Consider the following 21,069-nt stretch of genomic DNA (forward strand, 5'->3'; position numbering starts at 1 on the left):
CCTGCCTCAGCCTTTTGAGTAGCTGGGACTACAGGTGCCCGCCACCTCGCCCGGCTAATTTTTTGTATTTTTTTAGTAGAGATGGGGTTTCACCGTGTTAGCCAGGATGGTCTCGATCTCCTGACCTCGTGATCCGCCCACCTTGGCCTCCCAAAGTGCTGGGATTACAGGCGTGAGCCACCGCGCCCAGCCTGTCAACTGTCTTAAACCATTTGTATACTGTATGTTTCCCCTACTAGAATGAAAACTTCATGAGTGTAGGATGTTGTTTAATTCACTATTATAACTTCAGAGCCTGGCACTGTGCCCTGGCACATGACAGGTACTCAATAAATATCTAACAAATAAGTACACAAAATAAGAAAGATAAAAGCAAATTTCAATTAATAAATAAAAATGTCTATTGAATATTAGCACCTAGATGTCCTGAAGGCACCTAGAAATGAACATATCCAAAACAAAATTCAATACTTCTACAAACCACTTTTTCCTGCTAATAAATATACTAAAAGCACCCCACATGTCAAGTACTACATTAAAGCTCTAGGATTCAGATATGAAAGGCACAGTCTCTACCTTCAACAAGCTTACTAACTACTGAAGGAGACATTAAATATCAACTGCAAAAGGTTGATGGAAAACATGCTGTAAGTGTTCAAAGATATGCAAAAGACCTGCTGGGGAAGACCTGCTGGGGAAGGCAAGGCTTTTGCTAGATAACATTTGAGAGGAATCATGAACTAGGAGTTTGCCAAGTGGAGAGGGCAGATAAGGCATTCTAAACAGAAGTTAAAAAAGTGATGTAGTAGTCATTTATCACAACAGAACAGAGAGTCCAGAAAGAAAACCTGATATTTAAGGTCAATTGATTTTTGACAAGGGTGCCAAAACAATTCAGTGGCTAAAGAACAGTCATTTCAACAATGGTCAACTACAAAAGAATAAAGCTGCAAATGGTCACATGCGAAAGAATAAACTGCACTCCCCCTACTGCACATCACATGCAAAAATTAATTCAAAATGGATCAAACACCTAATGTAAGAACTAAAACTCTCAGAAAAAAACGGGCAAATCTTTATGAGCTTGGATTAGGCAATGATTTCTTAGGTATAACAACAAAAACACAAGCAACAAAGGAAAAAACAGATAAATATGACTTCACCAAAATTAAAAAACTTTTTGAAAGAAGCCAGTCACAAAATACCATATACCATATGACCTTATTTATATAAAATGTCTAGCAAAGGCAAATCTATAGAGACAGAAAGATTAGTCTTTCTGATGGTTACACAACTCTAGAAATATACTAAAACCAACTGAATTGTATGCTTTAAATAGATGAATTGCATAGTATATATATTTCAATAAAGCTGTTACGATGTATACCTTAAATATACACAATAAAATGTATTTTTTTAAAAAATTAGAAAACTTTTGTGCTTCAAAGGACAAAAAAAATCAGGCATGGAAGCATGTGCCTGTAATCCCAGCTACCTGGGAGAATGAAGAAGGAGGATCACTTGAGCCTAGTAATTTGTGTGAGACCAGCCTAGGCAACACAAAGATCCCATCTCTAAAAAAGAAAAAAAAAAAAAAAAAAAAAAAAAAAAAAGCTAGTCATGGTAGGACATGCCTGTAGTCCTACCTACTTGGAAGGCCATGCGGTAAGACTGCCTGAGTCCAGGAGTTTGAGATTGCAGTGAGTTACGATTGCACTCCAACATTCTAGCCTAGATGATGGAGTGAAAGCCTAAAGGACATTATCAAGAAAGTGAAAGTCAGCTAGGCCGGGGGTCATGCCTGTAATCCCAGCATTTCAGGAGGCTGAGCAGGTGGATCACTTGAGACCAGAAGTTTGAGATCAGCCTTACCAACATGGTGAAACCCTGTCTCTACTAAAAATACAAAAATTAGCCGGGCATGGTGGCACATGCCTGTAATCCCAGCTACTTGGGAGGGTGAAGCAGGAGAATCGCTTGAATCTGGGAGGTGGAGGTTGCAGTGAGCCAAGATGGTACCACTGCACTCCAGTCTGGGTGACACAGCAAGACCCTGTCTCAAAAAAAAAAAAAAAGAAAGAAAGAAAGAAAGTGAAAGTGGAATGGGAGAAAATTATTTGTAAATCATATACGTAAGGGACTTGCATATAGAATATCTAAAAAACACAACTCAATAATTATCTCCCATGAAACAACTGAGACAGAAAAATACTGCATGTTCTCATAAGTGGAAGCTAAATAATATATGTACATGGAGGTAGAGTGTGGAATGATAGACAAAGGAGACTTGGAAGGGTAGAGAGGTGGGAGAGGTGTGGAAGATGAAATTACTTAATAAGTACAATGTATGCTAGTCTGGTGATAGATACACTAAAAGCCTTGACTTCACCACTATGCAATATATCTATGTAACAAAATTACACTTATACTTCATAAATTTATATAGACAACAAAAAAATGTTTTGTTTTATTTTTTAGAGACGGAGTCTCACTCTGTTGTCCAGGCTGGAGTGCAGTGGTGTGATCTTGGCTCATTGCAACCTCTGTCTCCCAGGTTCAAGCAATTCTCCTGCTTCAGCCTCCTGAGTAGCTGGGATTACAGGCACGCACCACCACACTCAGCTAATTTTTGTATTTTTAGTAGAGACAGGGTTTCACCATGTTGGCCAGGCTGGTCTTGAATTCCTGACCTCAGGTAATCCACCCGCCCCGGCCTCCCAAAATGCTGGGATTACAGGTGTGAGCCACCGCACCTGGCAAAAAAATTTTTTAATAAAGAAAATTTTAAGACAAATAACCCAATTATAAAATAAGCAAAGGATTTGAAAATATATTCATCCTCGGCTGGGTGTGGTAGCTCATGCCTGTCACCCTAGCACCCTGGGAGGCCAAAGCGGGTAGACTGCTTGAGCTCAGGAGTTACCAGCCTGGGCAACATGGCGAAACCCTGTCTCTATATTAAAATATACATGTATTTTCTATATTAAAATATATTTTACATATGTAAAGTATATGTTTATATATTAAAATGTATATTTATTAAAATATATATATTTTTTCATCCAAAGAATATATACACTGCTGATGAAACTGTAAAATGGTACAGCTAAGGCCGGGCGCAGTGGCTCATGCCTGTAATCCCAGCACTTTGGGAGGATGAAGTGGGACAATCACCTGAGGTCAAGAGTTTGAGACCAGCCTGACCAACATGGAGAAACCCCGTCACTACTAAAAAATACAAAATTAGCCGGGCGTGGTGGTGCGTGCCTGTAATCCCAGCTACTCAGGAGGCTGAGGCAGGAGAATCACTTGAACCCAGGAGGCAGAGGTTGCGGTGAGCCGAGATCGCACCATTGCACCCTAGCATGGGCAACAAGAGCAAAACTCTGTCTCAAAAACAACAACAACAATAAAATGGTACAGCTGTTTTGGAAAACAGTTTGGCAGATCCTTAAAAGGTTAATCATAGAGTTACAATATGACCCAGCAATTTCACTCCCAGGTCTATACTCAAGAAAATGAAAACATAGGCCGGGCATGGTGGCTCACGCCTGTAATCCCAGCACTTTGGGAGGCCGAGGCGGGTGGATCAGGAGGTCAGGAGATTGAGATCATCCTGGCTACACAGTGAAACCCTGTCTCTACTAAAAATATAAAAATTAGCTGGGCATGGTGGCGGGCACCTGTAGTCCCAGCTACTCAGGAGGCTGAGGCAGGAGAATGGCGTGAACCCAGGAGACGGAGCTTGCAGTGAGCCAAGATCGCGCCACTGCGCTCCAGCCTGGGCGACAGAGCAAGATTCTGTCTCAAAAAGAAAATGAAAACATAAAACTTGCACATGCATATTCTTCGCAGCATTATTAGTAAGTCCAAGAGTAGAAATAAATGTCTATCAGCTGATGAATAAAACAAACAAAATGTGCTATATCCATACAATAGACTACTATTCCATCATAAAAAGGAATGTTGTACTGCTTCATGCTACACCACAGATAAACCTTGAGACCATGGAAAGAATCCAGTCACAAAAGAGCACACACTGTGTGATTCCATTTATATGAACTGTCCAGAATAGGTGAATCTATGGGGACAGCAGATTGGTGGTTACCTAGGGTTAGCAAGGGGGGTTAGGGGAAAATGAAGAGTGACTGCTAATGGGCACAGGGTTTCTTTGGAGGGGATGATGAAAATGTTCCAAAACTGTGGTAATGATTGCACAACTCTGTAGTATATAAAAAACATGGAATTGTACAATTTAAATAGGTCAACTTTATGGTATGTGAATTACATGTCAATAAAGCAGTTATAAAAAATAAAGAAAAGTATGAGGGTATAAAACTTAAAGAGCATAACACGTTCAGAAAACTGGCTTTGCTGTGTTATGGCTAGAACGAAGATAACGTGAAAGAGAAAGGCAGGAAATGAGGCTGAAGAGAAAGTAGGGAAGGTCCAAGGACTTTGTGTTGACAGGTTAAGGTTTATCTCGAAAGCTACATGGAGCCATTTAACGGATATTAAATCGTAGCTTTAAAGTATACATTTTCATCCAGAAACTTGGCTTCTGAAAGAAAGGCAAGAAAGTAATAGCAAAAAAAAAAAAAAAAAAAAAAAGTCACAGCACAGTAGTTAGAAAATGACATCAGATGAGAGAAATGTTATTTATTTAAAGATCAGATAGATTTGAATAATTTATAAAAGAACTAGTACTGAGAATGTGAAGATATAGAGGACATAAACGATAAAGCAAGTTTCCTGAAAAAGCAGAAAGGTAATAGAATCTAGAGACAAGTTAGACTGGCTTGAATGGAAGGGTCACCTCTTCAACAAGGGAAGAATTCAAGATAAGGGTACTGTATAAAGGAAGAAAACAGTAAGTAGAGAACACTCCAACTACTAATGTGTTTTCACTAGTGAGGGAAATGGATAGAAGAAAATGTTTAAGAAAAAAATATGAAAGGAACCAAGTGCTAATAGCCAAGACAATGGAAAAAAGGAAGCAGCCCATCCCATCATAGGCCTAGAGGCCTAGGAGGAAAGAATAGTTTTGGGGGTCAGGGAGGAGCCCATTGACCAGAACAGCCTCAGGACACTGCTCCCCACAGCCAGGGACTGCTCCAGCACCAGCCACCACCTGGTGTTAAACCCCTAGGCAAGTGTAAGAGTGAATGAAGCTTGGTGGTTTCCACTTAGATTTCAGAAGGTGTATGAGAAAGCCTAGGTGCCCAGGGGCAGAGCCCTCACAGAGAGACACTACTAGGGCAGTGCCAAGGGAAAATGCAGGGCTGGAGGCCCCACACAGACTCCCCACTGAGGCACTGCCTAGTGGGGCTGTGAGAAAGGGCTGCTGCCCTCCAGAATGGCAGAGCCACCGGCAGCTTGCAACCTCAGTGTGGAAAAACCACAGGGACAGAACTGCCCACTCATCGAAACAGTGTGCCCAGGATGTAGGACATGGAGTCAATGATTATTTTGGAGCTTTAAGATTTAATGACTGGCGTGATGGCTCACACCTTAATCCCAGCACTTTGGGAGGTCGAGGTGCATGGATCACTTGAGCTCAGGTGTTCAAAACCAACCTGGCCAACATAGTGAAACCCTGTCTCTACTAAAAATACAAAAATTAGCCAGGCATGGTGGGGCATGCCTGTAGTCCCAGCTATTTGGGGGTCTGAGGCAGGGTAATCACTTTAACCCAGGAGGCGGAGGGTGCAGTGAGCAAAGAACACACCACTGCATTCCAGCCTGGGCGCAACAGAGCAAGATTCTGTCTCAAAAAGAAAAAAAAAAAATTTAATGACTGCCTGCTGGGTTTCAGACTTGCATAGTGTCTGAACCCCTTTTCTTTTAGCAGATTTCTCCCTTTTGGAGCAGGAATGTTTATTTTATCCAATGCCTATATCCTCATTAGGTCTTGGAAATAATTTGTCTTTGATTTTACAGGTTCATAGGTAGAAGGAACTAGGCTTGAGTCTCAGATGAGACTTTGGAGTTGGCACTTTTCGGTTAAATTCTAGAATGAGTTAAGACTTTGGGGAACCATTGGCAGGAGATGATTATATTTTGATATATCAGAAGGACATGATATTATAGGGACCATGGGCAGAATGATATAGTTTGGATGTTGTCACCTATAAATCTCATGTTGAATTGTAATCCCCAGTGTTGGAGGTGGAGCCTGGTGAAAGGTGACTGGATCATGGGGGTGGATTTCTCATGAATAGTTTAGCACCATCCCTTTGGTGCTGTCCTCACGATAGTGAGTAAATTCTTGTGAAATTTGGCTGTTTTTTAAGTATCTGGCATCTTCCCCCTCGCTCTCTTGCTCCTGCTCTCACCACGTGAAGTGCCTGCTCCCACTTTACCTTCCACCATGAGAAGTTCCCTGAGGCCTCCCCAAAAGCCGAGGAGATGCAGGTGCTATGCTTGTACAGCCTGCAGAACCACGAGCCAATTAAACTCCTTCTTTTTTTTTTTTTTTTTTTTTTTTTTCAGATAGAGTCCCATTCTATCACCCAGGTTGGAGTGCAGTAGAGTGGAGTGATCAGCTAACTGCAGCCTGCAGCCTTGAACTCCTAGGCTCAAGCAATCCTTTCACCTTAGCCTCCCAAAGTGCTGGGATTACAGGCATGTGCCACTGTGCCTGGCCCTCTTTTCTTTATACAATTTTTTAAAAAAGGAAAATTTGGACTCTATCCTAAGCAAAATGGGAGAAAAAAGCAGACTAGGGATATAAACGGTATGAGGGTCCTACTGGGAGCTCAGCTAATGTTATAAATCAAGGGGTGGTGCCAATTCACAAGTCCGTAAAAATCTCCAGCAGCACTCTGTACTGTGGCTGTAGGAATGGAGAAAATGGATGGCTGGATTTGACTAGACCTAAGATTTATAGGACAAATGAAGTAGAAAAACAGAAAAGAAAGGAGTTTGAGGGTATGTTAATAAGGAAGAGAGGTAAAAAGGGATTTGACTAGTAAGAAAATGACTTAGTTAGGCTGGGTACAGTGGCTCACACCTGTAATCCCAGCACTTTGGGAGGTTGAGGTGGGCGGATCACTTGAGGTCAGGGGTTCAAGAGCAGCCTGGCCAACATGGCGAAACCCTGTCTCTGCGACAAACACAAAAATTAGCTAGGTGTGGTGACATGCACCTGTAATCCCAGAGACTTGGGAGGCAGAAGCATGAGAACTGCTTGAACCTGGGAAATGGAGATTGCAGTGAGCTGAGATCACACCACTGCACTCCAGCCTGGGTGACAGAGCAAGACTCTGTCTCAAAAAAAAAAAAAAAAAAAAAAAAAAAAAGGAAGAAAATGACATACTGAAAGGCCTAGAGATTCCAATGAACATGAAGAACAGCAGTAACCTGAGTAAAGGGTTGTTGTAACAAGAGTTTTCTCATTGGAGTGTGTTAATGGCACTATCTTCACCAGACTCAAAATATCCAAGTCATCTCCAACCATTCCCTACCCTTAAATATGTAATCTTGTTAAGTCTCACTGATTCTACTTCTACCATTCTTTTGGTTCTCCCCACTCTCCGTTCCTAATGCTACCAGGCCTTCATTATGTCTCTACCTGACTTCTGGTGTAACTTCATAACAGGTCTCTCAACGTCAAGTCTTCCTTCCAGTCTACTTCACCACAGTAATTTTTCTAAATGACGACCACAGTCAAATTCCATCTCAATGGCTTGCTCACCATTTATCAAAGTTCCAACTTCTCTGTGTGGTGATCAATATCCTCATGATCTAGCCCTAACCTAACTTTTCATTCTTTTTCTACTACTGTCCTTCATAGATCCTACTCACTAATCAAATTAAACCCTCAAAGAGACCTATGATTTCTTGCTTTCAGACTCAGGCTCAGGAAGTTCTCTTATCTAGAATTCTGTTGCTCATATCCACCAGCACAATTCCACCATTCTTCAAGCCCCTGTTCAAAAGCTACTTTAATCCCTCTGACAGAAATAACCTCCTTTCTCTTTTGAGACGGAGTCTCACTCTGTCACCCAGGCTGGAGTGCAGTGGCTCGATCTTGGCTCACTGCAAGCTCTGCCTCCTGGGTTCACGCCATTCTCCTGCCTCAGCCTCCTGAGTAGCTGGGATTACAGGTGCCCGCCACCTGTAATTTTTTGTATTTTTAGTAGAGACAGGGTTTCACTGCGTTAGCCAGGATGGTCTCGATCTCCTGACCTCGCGATCTGCCTGCCTCGGCCTCCCAAAGTGCTGAGATTACAGGCGTAAGCCACTGCGCCCGGCCTCTCCTCTTTTTTTGAGACAGAGTCTCGCTCTGTTGCCCAGGCTGGAGTGCAGTGGTGCAATCTCAGCTCACTGCAACCTCCACCTCCTGGGTTCAAGCAATTCTCTGCCTGAGCCTCCCGAGTAGCTGGGATTACAGGCGCCCGCCACCACACCCAGCTAATTTTTGTATTTTTAGTGGAGACAGGGTTTCACCATCGTGGCCAGGTGGGTCTTGAACTCCTAACCTGATGATCCACCCACCTCAGCCTCCCAAAGTGCTGGGATTACAGGCATGAGCCACCACGCCTGGCCCCAAGCCACCACGCCCAGCCATCTCAATTCCTATAAAACTACGCTTGTCTTGGAGCACTTACCATATTACATCTTATTATCATTATTTATATATATCACAGGTCCCACATTAATCTGCAAAGACCCATCTTACTTGTATCTGTATTTCCTTGGTACCTTGAATAAAACACTTAAAAAAAATCTAGTCAATAAATAAATCTTACATGTATGACCTTCTATGGAAGATCATATAATATTAGATCCTCTAGAACAGAGGTTCTTAAAGGAGGGCCAATAAGTGTGAAGGTTGCAAATTCATTTCAGAACTATGACCATCCTGAAAATGTTGTGAGTACATACATTTATACATGAATTTTTCTGAAGCAAAAGTCCATAACTTTTATCAGATTCTCAAAGGGATTCTATATTAAGAAATTAATAAACGTTTTTGGCAGTGGCTCACACCTGTAATCCCAGCACTTTAGGAAGTTGAGGCAAACAGAGCCCTTGAGGCCAGGAGTTTGAGACCAGCCTGGCCAACATGGTGAAACCCCGTCTCTACTAAATATACAAAAATTAGCCAGGTGTGGTACAGCATGCCTGTAATCCCACTACTCAGGAGGCTGAGGCATGAGAATCACTTAAACCCGGGGGATGGACGTTGCAGTGAGCTGAGATTGTGCCTGGGCAATAGAATGAGACTGCATTCCAGCCTGGGCAACTGAATGAGACTGTGCCTCAAAAAAAAAAAAAAAATTAATAAATGTTTTTATTTGTACTTTTAAAATGTGACTCTTTATCTTTTAGAAATATATTCTAAAGTATTTATAGATAGAAAAGAGTTGAGATTTGTTTCAAAATAATTGAGGTATGAGGTGGGGAGTACTGGATGGGGACATAAATGATACAAGATTGGCTATGATTTGATAATTGTTGAAGATGAATAATTGGTATATAGGAAATTCATATTATTCACTCTACCTTGGTGTATGTTGAAAATTTCCCAATGTAAGTTATTTTACTTCTTTAGAGACAGGGTTTTGCTATATTGTCTAGGCTGGGGTGCAGTGGCTATTCAGATGTTTGATTGTTGTACAGTGTATTCTCAAACTCCTGGGCTCAAGTGATCCTCCTGCCTTAGCCTCCCTAGCAGCTGGGACTACAGGCCAATGTAGGAATATTTTTAGTGAAACAGAAAAGGGGTTCTTGGCTAGGTGCAGTGGCTCACACCTATAATCTCAGTGCTTTACAAGCCCAAGGCAGGAGGATTACATAAGCCCAGGAGTTCAAGGCTGCTGTGGGCTATGATGGCACCACTGCACTCTAGTCTGTGTGACAGAGCGAGACTCTGTCTCTATAAAAAAAAATAGTGGGGGTTTTAGCTCCCAAAAGGGTAAGGAAACACTGCTTTCGCCTAATTTTGGGATTAAATCAGCCTTTCAGGAAGCCTCTGGCTTAGGTTAGTTCCTGCTTCTCAGGAACTAGACCCAGAGTCCAGCTGGCTTCTTCGAAGTAAAACAAATGTCACTTGCTGCTTTTCACACCAAAAGAAAATGCTCATTACCATCAAGAAGTAGTCAGGCTATCTAAACAGCCATCATGTATTAAAATAGCAAAATATGCAAAGAGTTTGAGAAGATTTTCTTACTGTGCTCAACACTGGCTAGAATTCTATTTGCATGTAATGTTAAAATCTGAGCTTTACATTTTTAGAGAGATGTGAATAATTTAGAGAAGATCTAAAGAAAAACAACAAAAATGGTCAAAAAGTTTGAATATTTCTTTGTTTATAAAAGATGATTTAGAGTGGCAATGGAAAAACTAAAGATCACTTAGTACCAGACCTCAAATACAGGAATACTGATAAAAGCCTACTGTTCTCCATCTTCACTTGTAAGGGATCCACAGAATTCATCTTAAATTATCTCATCTCTCAAAAGGAGTTGGGCTAAATGACTGTTATATCCACTTATGAGCTCTAAAACCCTATGATGCCCTGGTTTTTGACAGGTGCATTAGTTGAGAAAAACCTATTATCTCTATTTCTTTCCTTGTTTAAATACTCATAGCATAAATATTTAGATTAGATATAACGAAATATTTCCTTATGTGGGACTATCAGAGAATCAAATTAGAATCTATGAAATGTCCATTTTCCTCCTACCTTATCTTCCTGGCCCCTCCATCCTTCCCATATTACATTAAAACAGTTGAGTTGCAGTCTAGCCTGAAGGCAGGAGAGTGAGCAGGATGAATTATTTAATTCATCTGATGATGCTATGATTGAACTATTTCTCATACACCAAAGATAGAAGGTTGTAAGTGTAATGCATCCCTTGCACCTAAGCCCTTAACTGGCCCCCTTCTCAAATGCTAAAGGGTAATTCTATCTCCGTATTAACATTGGACCTACTGAGTAAATGAAGAACACCAAATGCAATCTGCAGAAAACCTGTTTAACATACACAGTTTAAGTATTAATTCTGAATTTCAGAACTACAAATTGCCTTGGCAGAAGTGACGTATCTCATACAGAAAGGAACATTTTGTAATATGGAAGAGGTGAGAAAAAATAGAGGGGGATACTGAACAAAATGTTTTATAATCATGTCTGTACTCTCATAATGTCATTTTCCACATATGGAAACTGAGGCATTTTCTTATGAAAAAAATTAACTTAAAATGGAAAAGAACATGATAGGTAACAAAATCCTAAGAATTCTATAGAACTACAAATGAAACACAGAAACAGAATTTCTTAAATAGCATTTATTTTCTCTCAAAAAGCCTATTATGTACTAACAAGTGTTCCTCTAAATTAGAAAGGCATCACTACTAAAATTTTATACATATTTTTTATATAAGAGAAGGAATATTGGGTTACAATCTGAATTTCTCTTTATGATTTCTCTTAAAGTATAGAACAGCTATTAAAATGACTAATATTGCTAAAATGAAGGCTACTAAATTTCCCCAAGAATTTCGGTGGAATGCCCAAAAATGGTGTTAAGATATGCAGAAGGGCCCATTTCAAGCAAAGCAATCTCTCCACCCCTTCATAAAAGATTTAAGCTAAAGAAAAAAAAAAAAAGAAAATCCAACAGCTGAAGACATTGGGCTATTTATAAATCTTCTCCCAGTCCCCCAGACAGCCTCACATGGGGGCTGTAAACAGCTAACTAAAATATCTTTGAGACTCTTATGTCCACACCCACTGACACAAGGAGAGCTGTAACCACAGTGAAACTAGACTTTGGTTTCCTTTAGCAAGTATGTGCCTATGATAGTAAACTGGAGTAAATGTAACAGTAATAAAACAAATTTTTTTTAAAAATAAAAATTATACCTTTTTCTCCAACAAACGGTAAAGACCACGTGAAGACATCCATAAAATTAGGCAACCAGTAAGGATGTGGAGAACAGTTAAACTGTCGAATATTCATCACATTATTTTCATACTTTAATACAGCAGCTGCAAGATAAGTTGAACATCAATAACTTAATAGATAAGTAACTATTTGTCATTAGCCTTAAAAATATAAAATACATAAAAGCAGAAAAATATTAAGAGGAAGGGAGATCGGGGGTGAGTGGAATCAGGGCTGGTAGAGGGAGGAAGGAACTAATTTTTAATAATAACATAGGTTTTGTTTTTAACACTGTTATGTAGAACTATAACTATAGTCAGGTCTTCACATTACTAATGAAATTTCCAGATTCTTTCCAGAATGTTTGTTTTACTTTATAATCCAATGATGAACATACATTTTTACTAAATCCAAAATTGTGAAAACTCAGTTTTTAGAGGAAACACAGAATGGCAATGAGCAATTTTCTAGGTTTTTAAAGTTCAAACAAATTGAGAATTTAAGATCTTTCTAGCTTCAGGCAACCTGAAAAGGATAGCTGAATGGTAATAAAGCAAACAAAAAAATCCCACCCATTTGGAACATTTTACTTATAAATGTATGAATGTATTTGTTTCATTTAATATGGAAAATCAGACAAAATTACTACAAAGAAATATTTTACTTTGTTTAGAAAAAAAATCCTACTAAAACACCAAAAGAGAATATTATAACCAAACAATCCAGAGATAACATTTTCATCTCAAATGCAGGTATCTAATGTTTCAATATGTTGATATAATTAAAATCTTAAATGACCTACATAGATTTCAGTTACTGGTTATATTACTGTATAGAACACTGGGTTAGAAGGGCTGGATTCTCATCTAAACTATAGCACATACTAGCTGTGCAATGCTTGGTAAATTATTCAACTAATGTGTTTCTCATTTATAAAACAGGACTAATATGTCTACCCTGCCTACCACAGAAGTTTAAGATCAGACAATGCATTTCACATGAAAATACATAAAAGTATAAAATGTCTTGTAGATATAATTTTATGGTTACTTTTTTTTCATTTTAATGAAAAGCACTGAAATGCAGATGTTAAATTCCAACATTTGTGATTGTGGCTAATAGAGAATCAAAAGTAATCCTGCTACATGTTACTGTTTACTAACTTAATAAGTATATGTTTGTTTCCCATATGAAATTCCCATCTGAAATAAAAGTATTTTAAATTATATGTTTTGACAATCAGTTCAAAGTGGGAAAAAAGAGTATTTTAAATTAGTCTCAAAAATTATGAGCTGATACCAAGCTTTCAGATCTTTTGTAAGGGATAAAAGAGAGAAAAATCTAGAAAATTGCCTTATGGATAGAATGAAAAATTACAAACATACCCATACAACGTAAACACTCAAACCATTAACACTATTTATGTACAGACTCAGGACTACAAAGAGACATCTGATTTTTGATAAGACAGTCAATGGTTTGAGCCTCTTTTCTAAGTGCTAAAAAAAATCCATCCCTTAACCTCCTGAGTCAAACCAACAAAGGACAATCAGTAAGGCAGTACTCAACTGGACACTGAACACTAGCTCCCTTAATATTAACAAGAGGAAGTCACAGTTGAGGAATTAGAGCACTGGTAGAAAGTTAAATTTAACACTTGGTTCTGTTTTTGAGAATGGAATCAGGGCAGGGGCGCAGTGGCTCAGGCCTATAATCGCAGCACTTTGGGAGGCTGAGGCAGGCAGATCACTTGAAGTCAGGAGTTCAAGACAAGCCTGGTGAACATGGTGAAACCTCATTCTATAAAAATATAAAAATTAGCTGGGCGAGGTGGCGGGTGCCTATGATCCCAGCTATTAGGGAGGGCTGAGGCAAGAGAATTGCTTGAACCCAGGATGCAGATGTAGCAGTCGGCCGAGACTGCACCACTGCATTCCAGCCTGGGCAACAGAGCGAGACCCTGTCTAGAGAGAGAAAGAATGGAATCAAAACTTAGATATGTTTCTTCTCAAAAATGAAGTCATATTTCATAAGATATCTATAGTGTAAGTTCTTGTAGCATATTCTGTACCCAAGTTATCCAGCATGCTACTGTTTGGTCTCAGGCAAGTGTTTTAATCTTTTAACCATCACCTCTCATCATCCAAAAAAACTTCCTCTGTTCCTCTTTTGAACTTACACCATGACCCTTATTTAGCAATGACCTCATTCTCTCTCTAAATGTCCTTTTTAAAGTCTTTAACCTTCTGTTCTTTCCTCTTGGCACATCCACTCCAGTCTGATCCTGAAGCTATGGCATAGTCAACTGAATTCCAGACATGTCAAGACAGAAGAGAAGCTGGCCTCTTAATATCATCTTCCAAAGATGTAAACTACATAAACATACCCAATCTCATCTTCAATGTCCTTGGCACACACTTAACTAGATTAAGACCCTTTGGCACTTTCTGTCAATAAACTGTATTCAAAATAAAATGAAATCCAATTACTATAGACAGGTCAAATTTTCAGGGAAGGTGGGGAAATGAAAATCTCTGGAACGGAAGGCAAAGGAAAAAAGCAGTAAAAATAAAGAGAAGAATGTATCCCTCAAATGAGATGAAACTGAATTAATTAAAAAAAAGCTCAAATACAAATCTTCATGGGGCAGTGATAAGACTGTGGAGGTAAAAGAAGGAAATAAGAAAGGGAAAGAGAACCTAGATCAGTGAACATAAAACAAGAAACATGATAAACTAAACAAGTAGACAGTGCAAATAAAATCATCAAAGCAGCAGCAGCTTTATACAAATAAGAAAACATCCTCAATAAGGGAAAAGATTTAAGAAAGGGGAGTTTGAGAAAATCATGTTTGGTTTTGCTTGATGCACTTAACTCAGAGCACGTTTTACAAAATGGCTTTTCCAAGAGACAAGTTGTGGAATGGGGTTACATATTACTTAGTTTCACATTTTGGATTTTTATTTATTGTTCTCTCCCCTCCATCTTACAGTTATTTATAAAGAAATCTGGATACTAATAGTTTCAAACAACACCCCTTTTTTATTATATTAAAAAAAGTCAATTAAAATACTAAGTTGTTTAACAATTTTTTTTATCAACAATATCTTACCTTTATTATTGTAGACATCTAAGTAATTAGGTGCCGAAAAAATTGTTATTAATGAAGGGAACCCTGTAGTTTGACTTTTTCTGTACATTCTATAGCTGCAAAACAAATAGCTTAATATGCATCGTAAAGCATCAATCATGGTTACTAAGTTTGATTTATATTTTAGGTGTTAATTTGGGTCAGGGAAACAGAATTCTTACCCTGCATCTTGAGCTTCATGAGCTCTAATAATCGATAACAAATTATTGTTTTGCAAAAATTCACACACTGCTGGATAGCTGTGGGGGAAAAAGAGTAAATTAAGTAAAATAATGGCTTTTCTGTATGAAGCATATGCTATGTTAACAACTAAAATGTGATTAATCTTGGATATTTTTCCTTACTTATAAAAATAAGAACATCCTCGAACTGTATTGTGACTAAAATGTTCCTGTGATTTTTCATTTCCAAAATCTTCAGAAGGATCGGACCATAACAAGTCACACATTGGTCCAAATGCAGGTGGCTCTTTGAATCTATCTAACTGTGAAAGAAAGAAAAGAAAGAACAGAAGTAACTCATCAAAAAGTAAGGATAAAATGTGCATAGGAAAACGATACCAACTTTGAATACAGTTCATACTATATTATTGTGAATAAACAGAAGTTATTTCCTTAAGATATCAGTATACTAATTTTTACTATTACCTAATCTTGGCAGTGAAGTGAAGTTTGAAACTTCTGCTCTACTCAACAATGTACTATAAATAGAAATCAATCTCGGAAGTAAAATATATACTTACTCTCCTAATATCATCCAGTGTGTGTATTTCTGGTGAAAGTCCACCATGAACACAAAGAAACTGTTGGTTTAAAAGTGCAGCAAGAGGCAAACTATCAAAAGCTTCCATACAAGCTTCATAGACTCTTTCCGAATACTTAATTTTACCTAGAAAAACAAAAAACTAATTGAAAATTACATTACTGGTGGTGGTGTGACCATTTTAAAAACATATATATTAGATTTTTATTTCTTGTTCTCTCCCCTCCTTTATATCTTATAGCTATTTATAATGAAATTGAGATAGTTACAGTTTCAACTGTAGTAATAGCCCAGACAGACAGACAGACAGATGGCAAGAAAATTATAGACAGTAAACAGCAAAGTGGTGGCCAGGGCTTCAGAGTGAGTGAAGGGGTGACTATAAAAAGGTAGCAAGAGAGAACTTATGGCATGATAAAACTTTTCTGTATCATGATAGTGGTAGTGGGCAACTCTATGCAGTGTCAAAAGTCACAGAAGTAAATACCACAGAGAATAAATCTTACTGCACACAATTTTTTTAAGGAAAGCATCTTCCCCTATAAGAATCAACAAAAATATGCAAAGTTATCTGTCTTATGAAGACAAAATATTTGCTCTCTCTAAAATTATTCTCGATGATGTTATGTCTTATGAAGCAAAATATTTGCTCTCTAAAATTATTTTGGATGACAGAAAAGTCATCACGTATTGTTAAAAATAAGTCAGTCAAATCTCTAAAAACAGGCCAGGCACGGTGGCTCACGCCTGTAATCCCAGCACTTTGACAGGCCAAAGCAGGCAGATCGCTTGAGGCCAGGAGTTTGAGACCAGTCTGGCCAACATGGCAGAACACTGTCTCTACTAAAAATACAAAAATTAGCCAGGCATGCTGGTGTGCACCTGTAATCCCAGAGACTCAATGGGTGAGGAACAAGAATCACTTGAACCCAGGAGGTGGAGGCTGCAGTGGGCCGAGATCGTGCCACTTGCACTCCAGCCTGGGCGACAGAGCAAGACTCTGTCTCAAAAAAAAAAAAAAAAGAAAGAAATCTCTTAAAAACAGCTCAACCCTTCACCTTTATCGGCCAAATAAGGCAAAATTAGAACTGTACTTGAGGTTAAAATCATTTTAATACTTGCTTTATTTTATTCTAAGAGTCAATGACTACTTTATTCTTATTACAGGCAAGATGACTACATCATCACAACAAAATTCAAGGTTCATCCATTTTTTCTGAAAAATAAAAGATAATAGCATGCTCATGTCAGAAAAGCTGAGGGGTTCCTCTTGCCTACAATGAATACTTTAAAATGGGCAGTGAAGCAGGAAGCCAATATAGAAACACAAGAAAGACAAAACTCTACCAAATCAAACTATCATTTACTTTTAGAGAGATATCATGCACTTTCATTTGCTCCTTTACAACTTTAAATTCCTATTTTGGTTTTGATGAGATTTTGGTAGGTGGTTTGTTATTTATCTAGGCAAAGAAAAAGAACTTAGTTCCTATTTCCTGTTTTAATACTGTAATATTCAAATATTAAAAAAACTATATATATATCCAGCAACCAGAGATTCTACACTGGCAGTCTGCTAACGACTCTGTTTTCTAGCACTGTGGTTTAATAAAAATTCTAATTTGACTGCTTTTAGGTCAAGCATGCACTTTCCAGGTCTTATCTTACTCATTTAGGTTAACTGCCTGATCCTTGAAGTTATAAGAGTATGCCACTTCTGCCACTACCCATCACTGTATTTTTCTCCTGTTGCTGCAAGTCTCTACTTAGTATGACCTTTATTGGATCATGTTTTGAGTCTCAAAACGTTGAAATTATTTCTGCTTTTAGAATTTAACTCTACTTAATACAGTCATAAATATTAACTTAAAAAGCACAAAGGCAGGCCAGATGCGGTGGTTCACACCTGTAATCCCAGCACTTTGGGAGGACGAGGCAGGTGGATTACTTGAGGTCAGGAGTTAAGAGACCAGCCTGGCCAACATGGTGAAACACCGCCTCTACCAAAAATACAAAAATTAGCAGGACGTGGTGGCGCATGCCTGTAATTTCAGCTACTTGGGAGGCTAAGGCAGGAGAATACTTGAACCCGGGAGGAGGTTGCTGTGAGCCGAGATTGTACCACTGCACTCCAGCCAGGGCGACAGAGCGAGACTGTCTCAAAAAAAAAATAAAAATAACAAAAATAATAAAAAAGCACAAAGGTTTGAGGTGTGAAAAAGGCCTAATCTTGTTCTGTAACATATGGTTACTTACAGGTATTAGATTACCATTGCTATAATAATTTGAGAGAGAAAAGGGATAAACATTGCAGGTTAAGAATTTCACCAACTGTACCTGACTAGTCTTAAAACAATGATATTTAAAAAAACAAAAAAATTTTAAGAAGAATTTCAATCATTAATAGCATGATTGAAATGATCTGCAATGGTAACAGGATAAACAATTTGTTAGGATTCCTCACAGGAATGCCTCAAGATTGAAGGACAAAAATCTCCAATGCAAAATAACATTTTTTTCTTTTGGTTTTTATTTTTTCCTGTTAGAAAAAATATATACATTTTTTTTTCCTGAGACAGAGTTTCGCTCTTGTTGCCCAGGCTGGAGTACAATGGCGCGATCTCGGCTCACTGCAACCTCCGCCTCCCAGGTTCAAGTGATTCTCCTGCCTCAGCCTCCTGAGTACCTGGGATTACAGGCACATGTCACCACGCCTGGCTAATTTTTGTATTTTTAGGAGATGGGGTTTTGCCGTGTTGGCCAGGCTGGTCTTGAACTCCTGACCTCAGGTGATCCACCCGCCTCGGCCTCCCAAAGTGCTGGGATTACAAGCGTGAGCTACCGTGCCTGGCTTAGAAAAATTAATTGTAACATTAAAACTTATATATAAAACTCTAAGTATGTTTGTAAAAGTTAAACATAATAAGAAATTCTGAAATGAAAAAAAATTTTTTTTTTTGAGACAGGGTCTGACTCTATTGCCCAGGCAATTGTCCGTGCAGTGGCATGATCTCAGCTCACTATGACCTCCGATTCCCAGGCTCAAGCGATCCTCCCACCTCAGCCTCCTGAGCAGCTGGGACTACAAGAGTGTGCCGCCACACCCAGCTAATTTTTTTTTTTTGTATTTTTGGTGGAGATGGGGTTTCACCATGTTGGCCAGGCTGGTCTCCAACTCCTGAGCTCAGGCAATCCCCCTGCCTGGGCCTCCCAAAGTGCTGGGATTACAGGCGTGAACCACCATGCCCCACCAAAAACTTCTTAATACCATTAAACACCAGAGAGTGCTCGACAACTTTCCTCAAAGCTTTATGTGTGGACATGAAATCTGTCCTTACATGTTGCACTGTAAAGTCTTCAAAACTCTTACTACCCACTTAAGTCCAAAAGAATACTGAGGAAGTGAAAACATTTCTTCTGGCAGTACTCACATTCCTGCTTAAAGGTAAAATATTCAGTAAGGTGTCTGCATTCATGGTTGCCTCTCAGAAGAAATAATGTGCTTGGGTATAGAATCTTCAGAACCCATAAATATAAGACACACTGCAAAAGAAAATTTTTCTAGTGAATTTATCTTGTACTTTTGTTTAATGAAGCTGCTTGATCTTTGCTCCTTTTCCTCTACTACCCTTACCATCCTCTATTATCTTTCTTTGTCCCTTACTAAAATATAAGCACCACAAAATCACAGATTTTGTCATCTTATTCACTTTTGATTCTCCACTCCCAGAAGAGTACCTAGCAAATAGGAGAAGAGCAATAAATATTTGTTGAATGAATGAGTCAAACAATCTATTTAATTACTTTGGATTTACAGACTGCCCAATATAAAAACAATTAGCACACTGGTCTACAGATGCGTATTAGTAAATAATACTGTCAAAATAACAGCAGCTAACATTTATTAAGTACTTACAATATGTGAAGCACTATATAATTCCCCTAATTTATTCCTCAAACAACACTATGAAGTATGTAATATCATCTTTATTTTACAAATGAGAAACTGAAGCAAAGATCTCAAGTAACTTGTCCAAAACCACAAAACTTCTAAGTGATGGAGATAGGATTCTGATCCTCTGATCTTAAGCATTATGCCATGCTGCCCATGAAGGGAAGGTCCATGTTTTATGTTTGTTTCATTGATTATGAATATTGCCTTACATATGGTAAGTGCTTATTATCTGAACTAATTCAATGCAAATGTAATTTTTCAAATAAAAATATTATTAAACATTATAGCAGATGCTATTCTCTAAATAGATTTAACATAAGAAAGAGACTCACATTTTACTTATTTGCTTAAAAAAGGAAGAAATATTTGATATGGAAATAAGCATGGTTTATATAATCATATGCAAAAAGAAAAAACAAACTTTTTTATTTTTAGAGACAAGGTCTCACTGTCACCCAGGTTGGAGTGCAATGGCACAATTACTGCTCACTGCAGCCTCGACCTTCTGGGCTCAAGAAATCCTCCTACCTCAGTCTCTTGAGCAGCTGGGACTACAGGCACATGCCACCAGGCCCAGCTAAGTTTTTTTTTTTTTTTTTGTGGAGACAGGGTTTCACCATGTTTCCCTGGCTGGTCTCGAACTCCCAGGTTCAAGCAATCTGCCTGACTTGGCCAACCTGTGCTGCGATTACAGGTGTGAGCCACCACACCCAACAAAACTTTATTGTTAATAAATTAAGGTATATCTAAACATGTAACTATTCATATCCTTCATTTTATTCAAAAGGGAAAAAAGTAATAAAATCAGGGAAATAATCTGTTCTCGATGCTTATTTTGATTCTTTGTTATTTTCCTTTTATAACAACAAAATGTATTAAAGGAGTCAGCTACATCCAGGCGCAGTGGCTCACGCCTGTAATCCCAGCACTTCGGGAGGCCGAGGCAGGCAGATCACCTGAGGCCAGGAGTTCGAGATCAGCTTGACCAACATGGCGAAACTCCATCTCTATTAAAAATACAAAAACTAGCCGGGAGTGGTGGTGGGCACCTGTAATCCCAACTACTTGGGAGGCTGAGGCAGGAGAATCTCTTGAACCTGGGAGGCAGAGGTTGCAGTGAGCCGAGATCACGCCACTACACTCCAGCCTGGGCGACAGAGTGAGAGTCCATCTCAATTAAAAAAAAAAAAAAAAAGAGTCAGCTGCAAAACAATCTTACACAAGGACATGCACACCAACTTAGTTACCAAATAAGCTTCATAAAACTGTTTATTTTATTGTTTTGGTCAAATGCCTGAAATTTT

The 21,069-nt window shown here is 38.7% G+C and overlaps 1 protein-coding gene across 15 annotated transcripts in view; it reads right to left on the reverse strand.

The window, feature by feature from the left end:
- The window catches only part of PPP3CB (protein phosphatase 3 catalytic subunit beta), a 59,592-nt gene that overhangs the window by 19,245 nt on the left and 19,278 nt on the right, over window positions 1-21,069 (reverse strand). For all 15 annotated transcript variants that reach the window (XM_005269944.2, NM_021132.4, NM_001142354.3 and 12 more), the window contains 6 exons: window positions 19,242-19,353; window positions 15,791-15,936; window positions 15,393-15,532; window positions 15,210-15,287; window positions 15,010-15,104; window positions 11,876-12,001 (listed from right to left, as the gene is read on the reverse strand). In XM_005269944.2, coding sequence (XP_005270001.1) covers window positions 11,876-12,001; window positions 15,010-15,104; window positions 15,210-15,287; window positions 15,393-15,532; window positions 15,791-15,936; window positions 19,242-19,353 — 697 coding nt within the window. The remainder of the gene's footprint in view (window positions 1-11,875; window positions 12,002-15,009; window positions 15,105-15,209; window positions 15,288-15,392; window positions 15,533-15,790; window positions 15,937-19,241; window positions 19,354-21,069) is intronic.

This window comes from Homo sapiens, chromosome 10 (genome assembly GCF_000001405.40).
Source record: "Homo sapiens chromosome 10, GRCh38.p14 Primary Assembly".
Taxonomy (NCBI): Eukaryota; Metazoa; Chordata; class Mammalia; order Primates; family Hominidae; genus Homo; species Homo sapiens.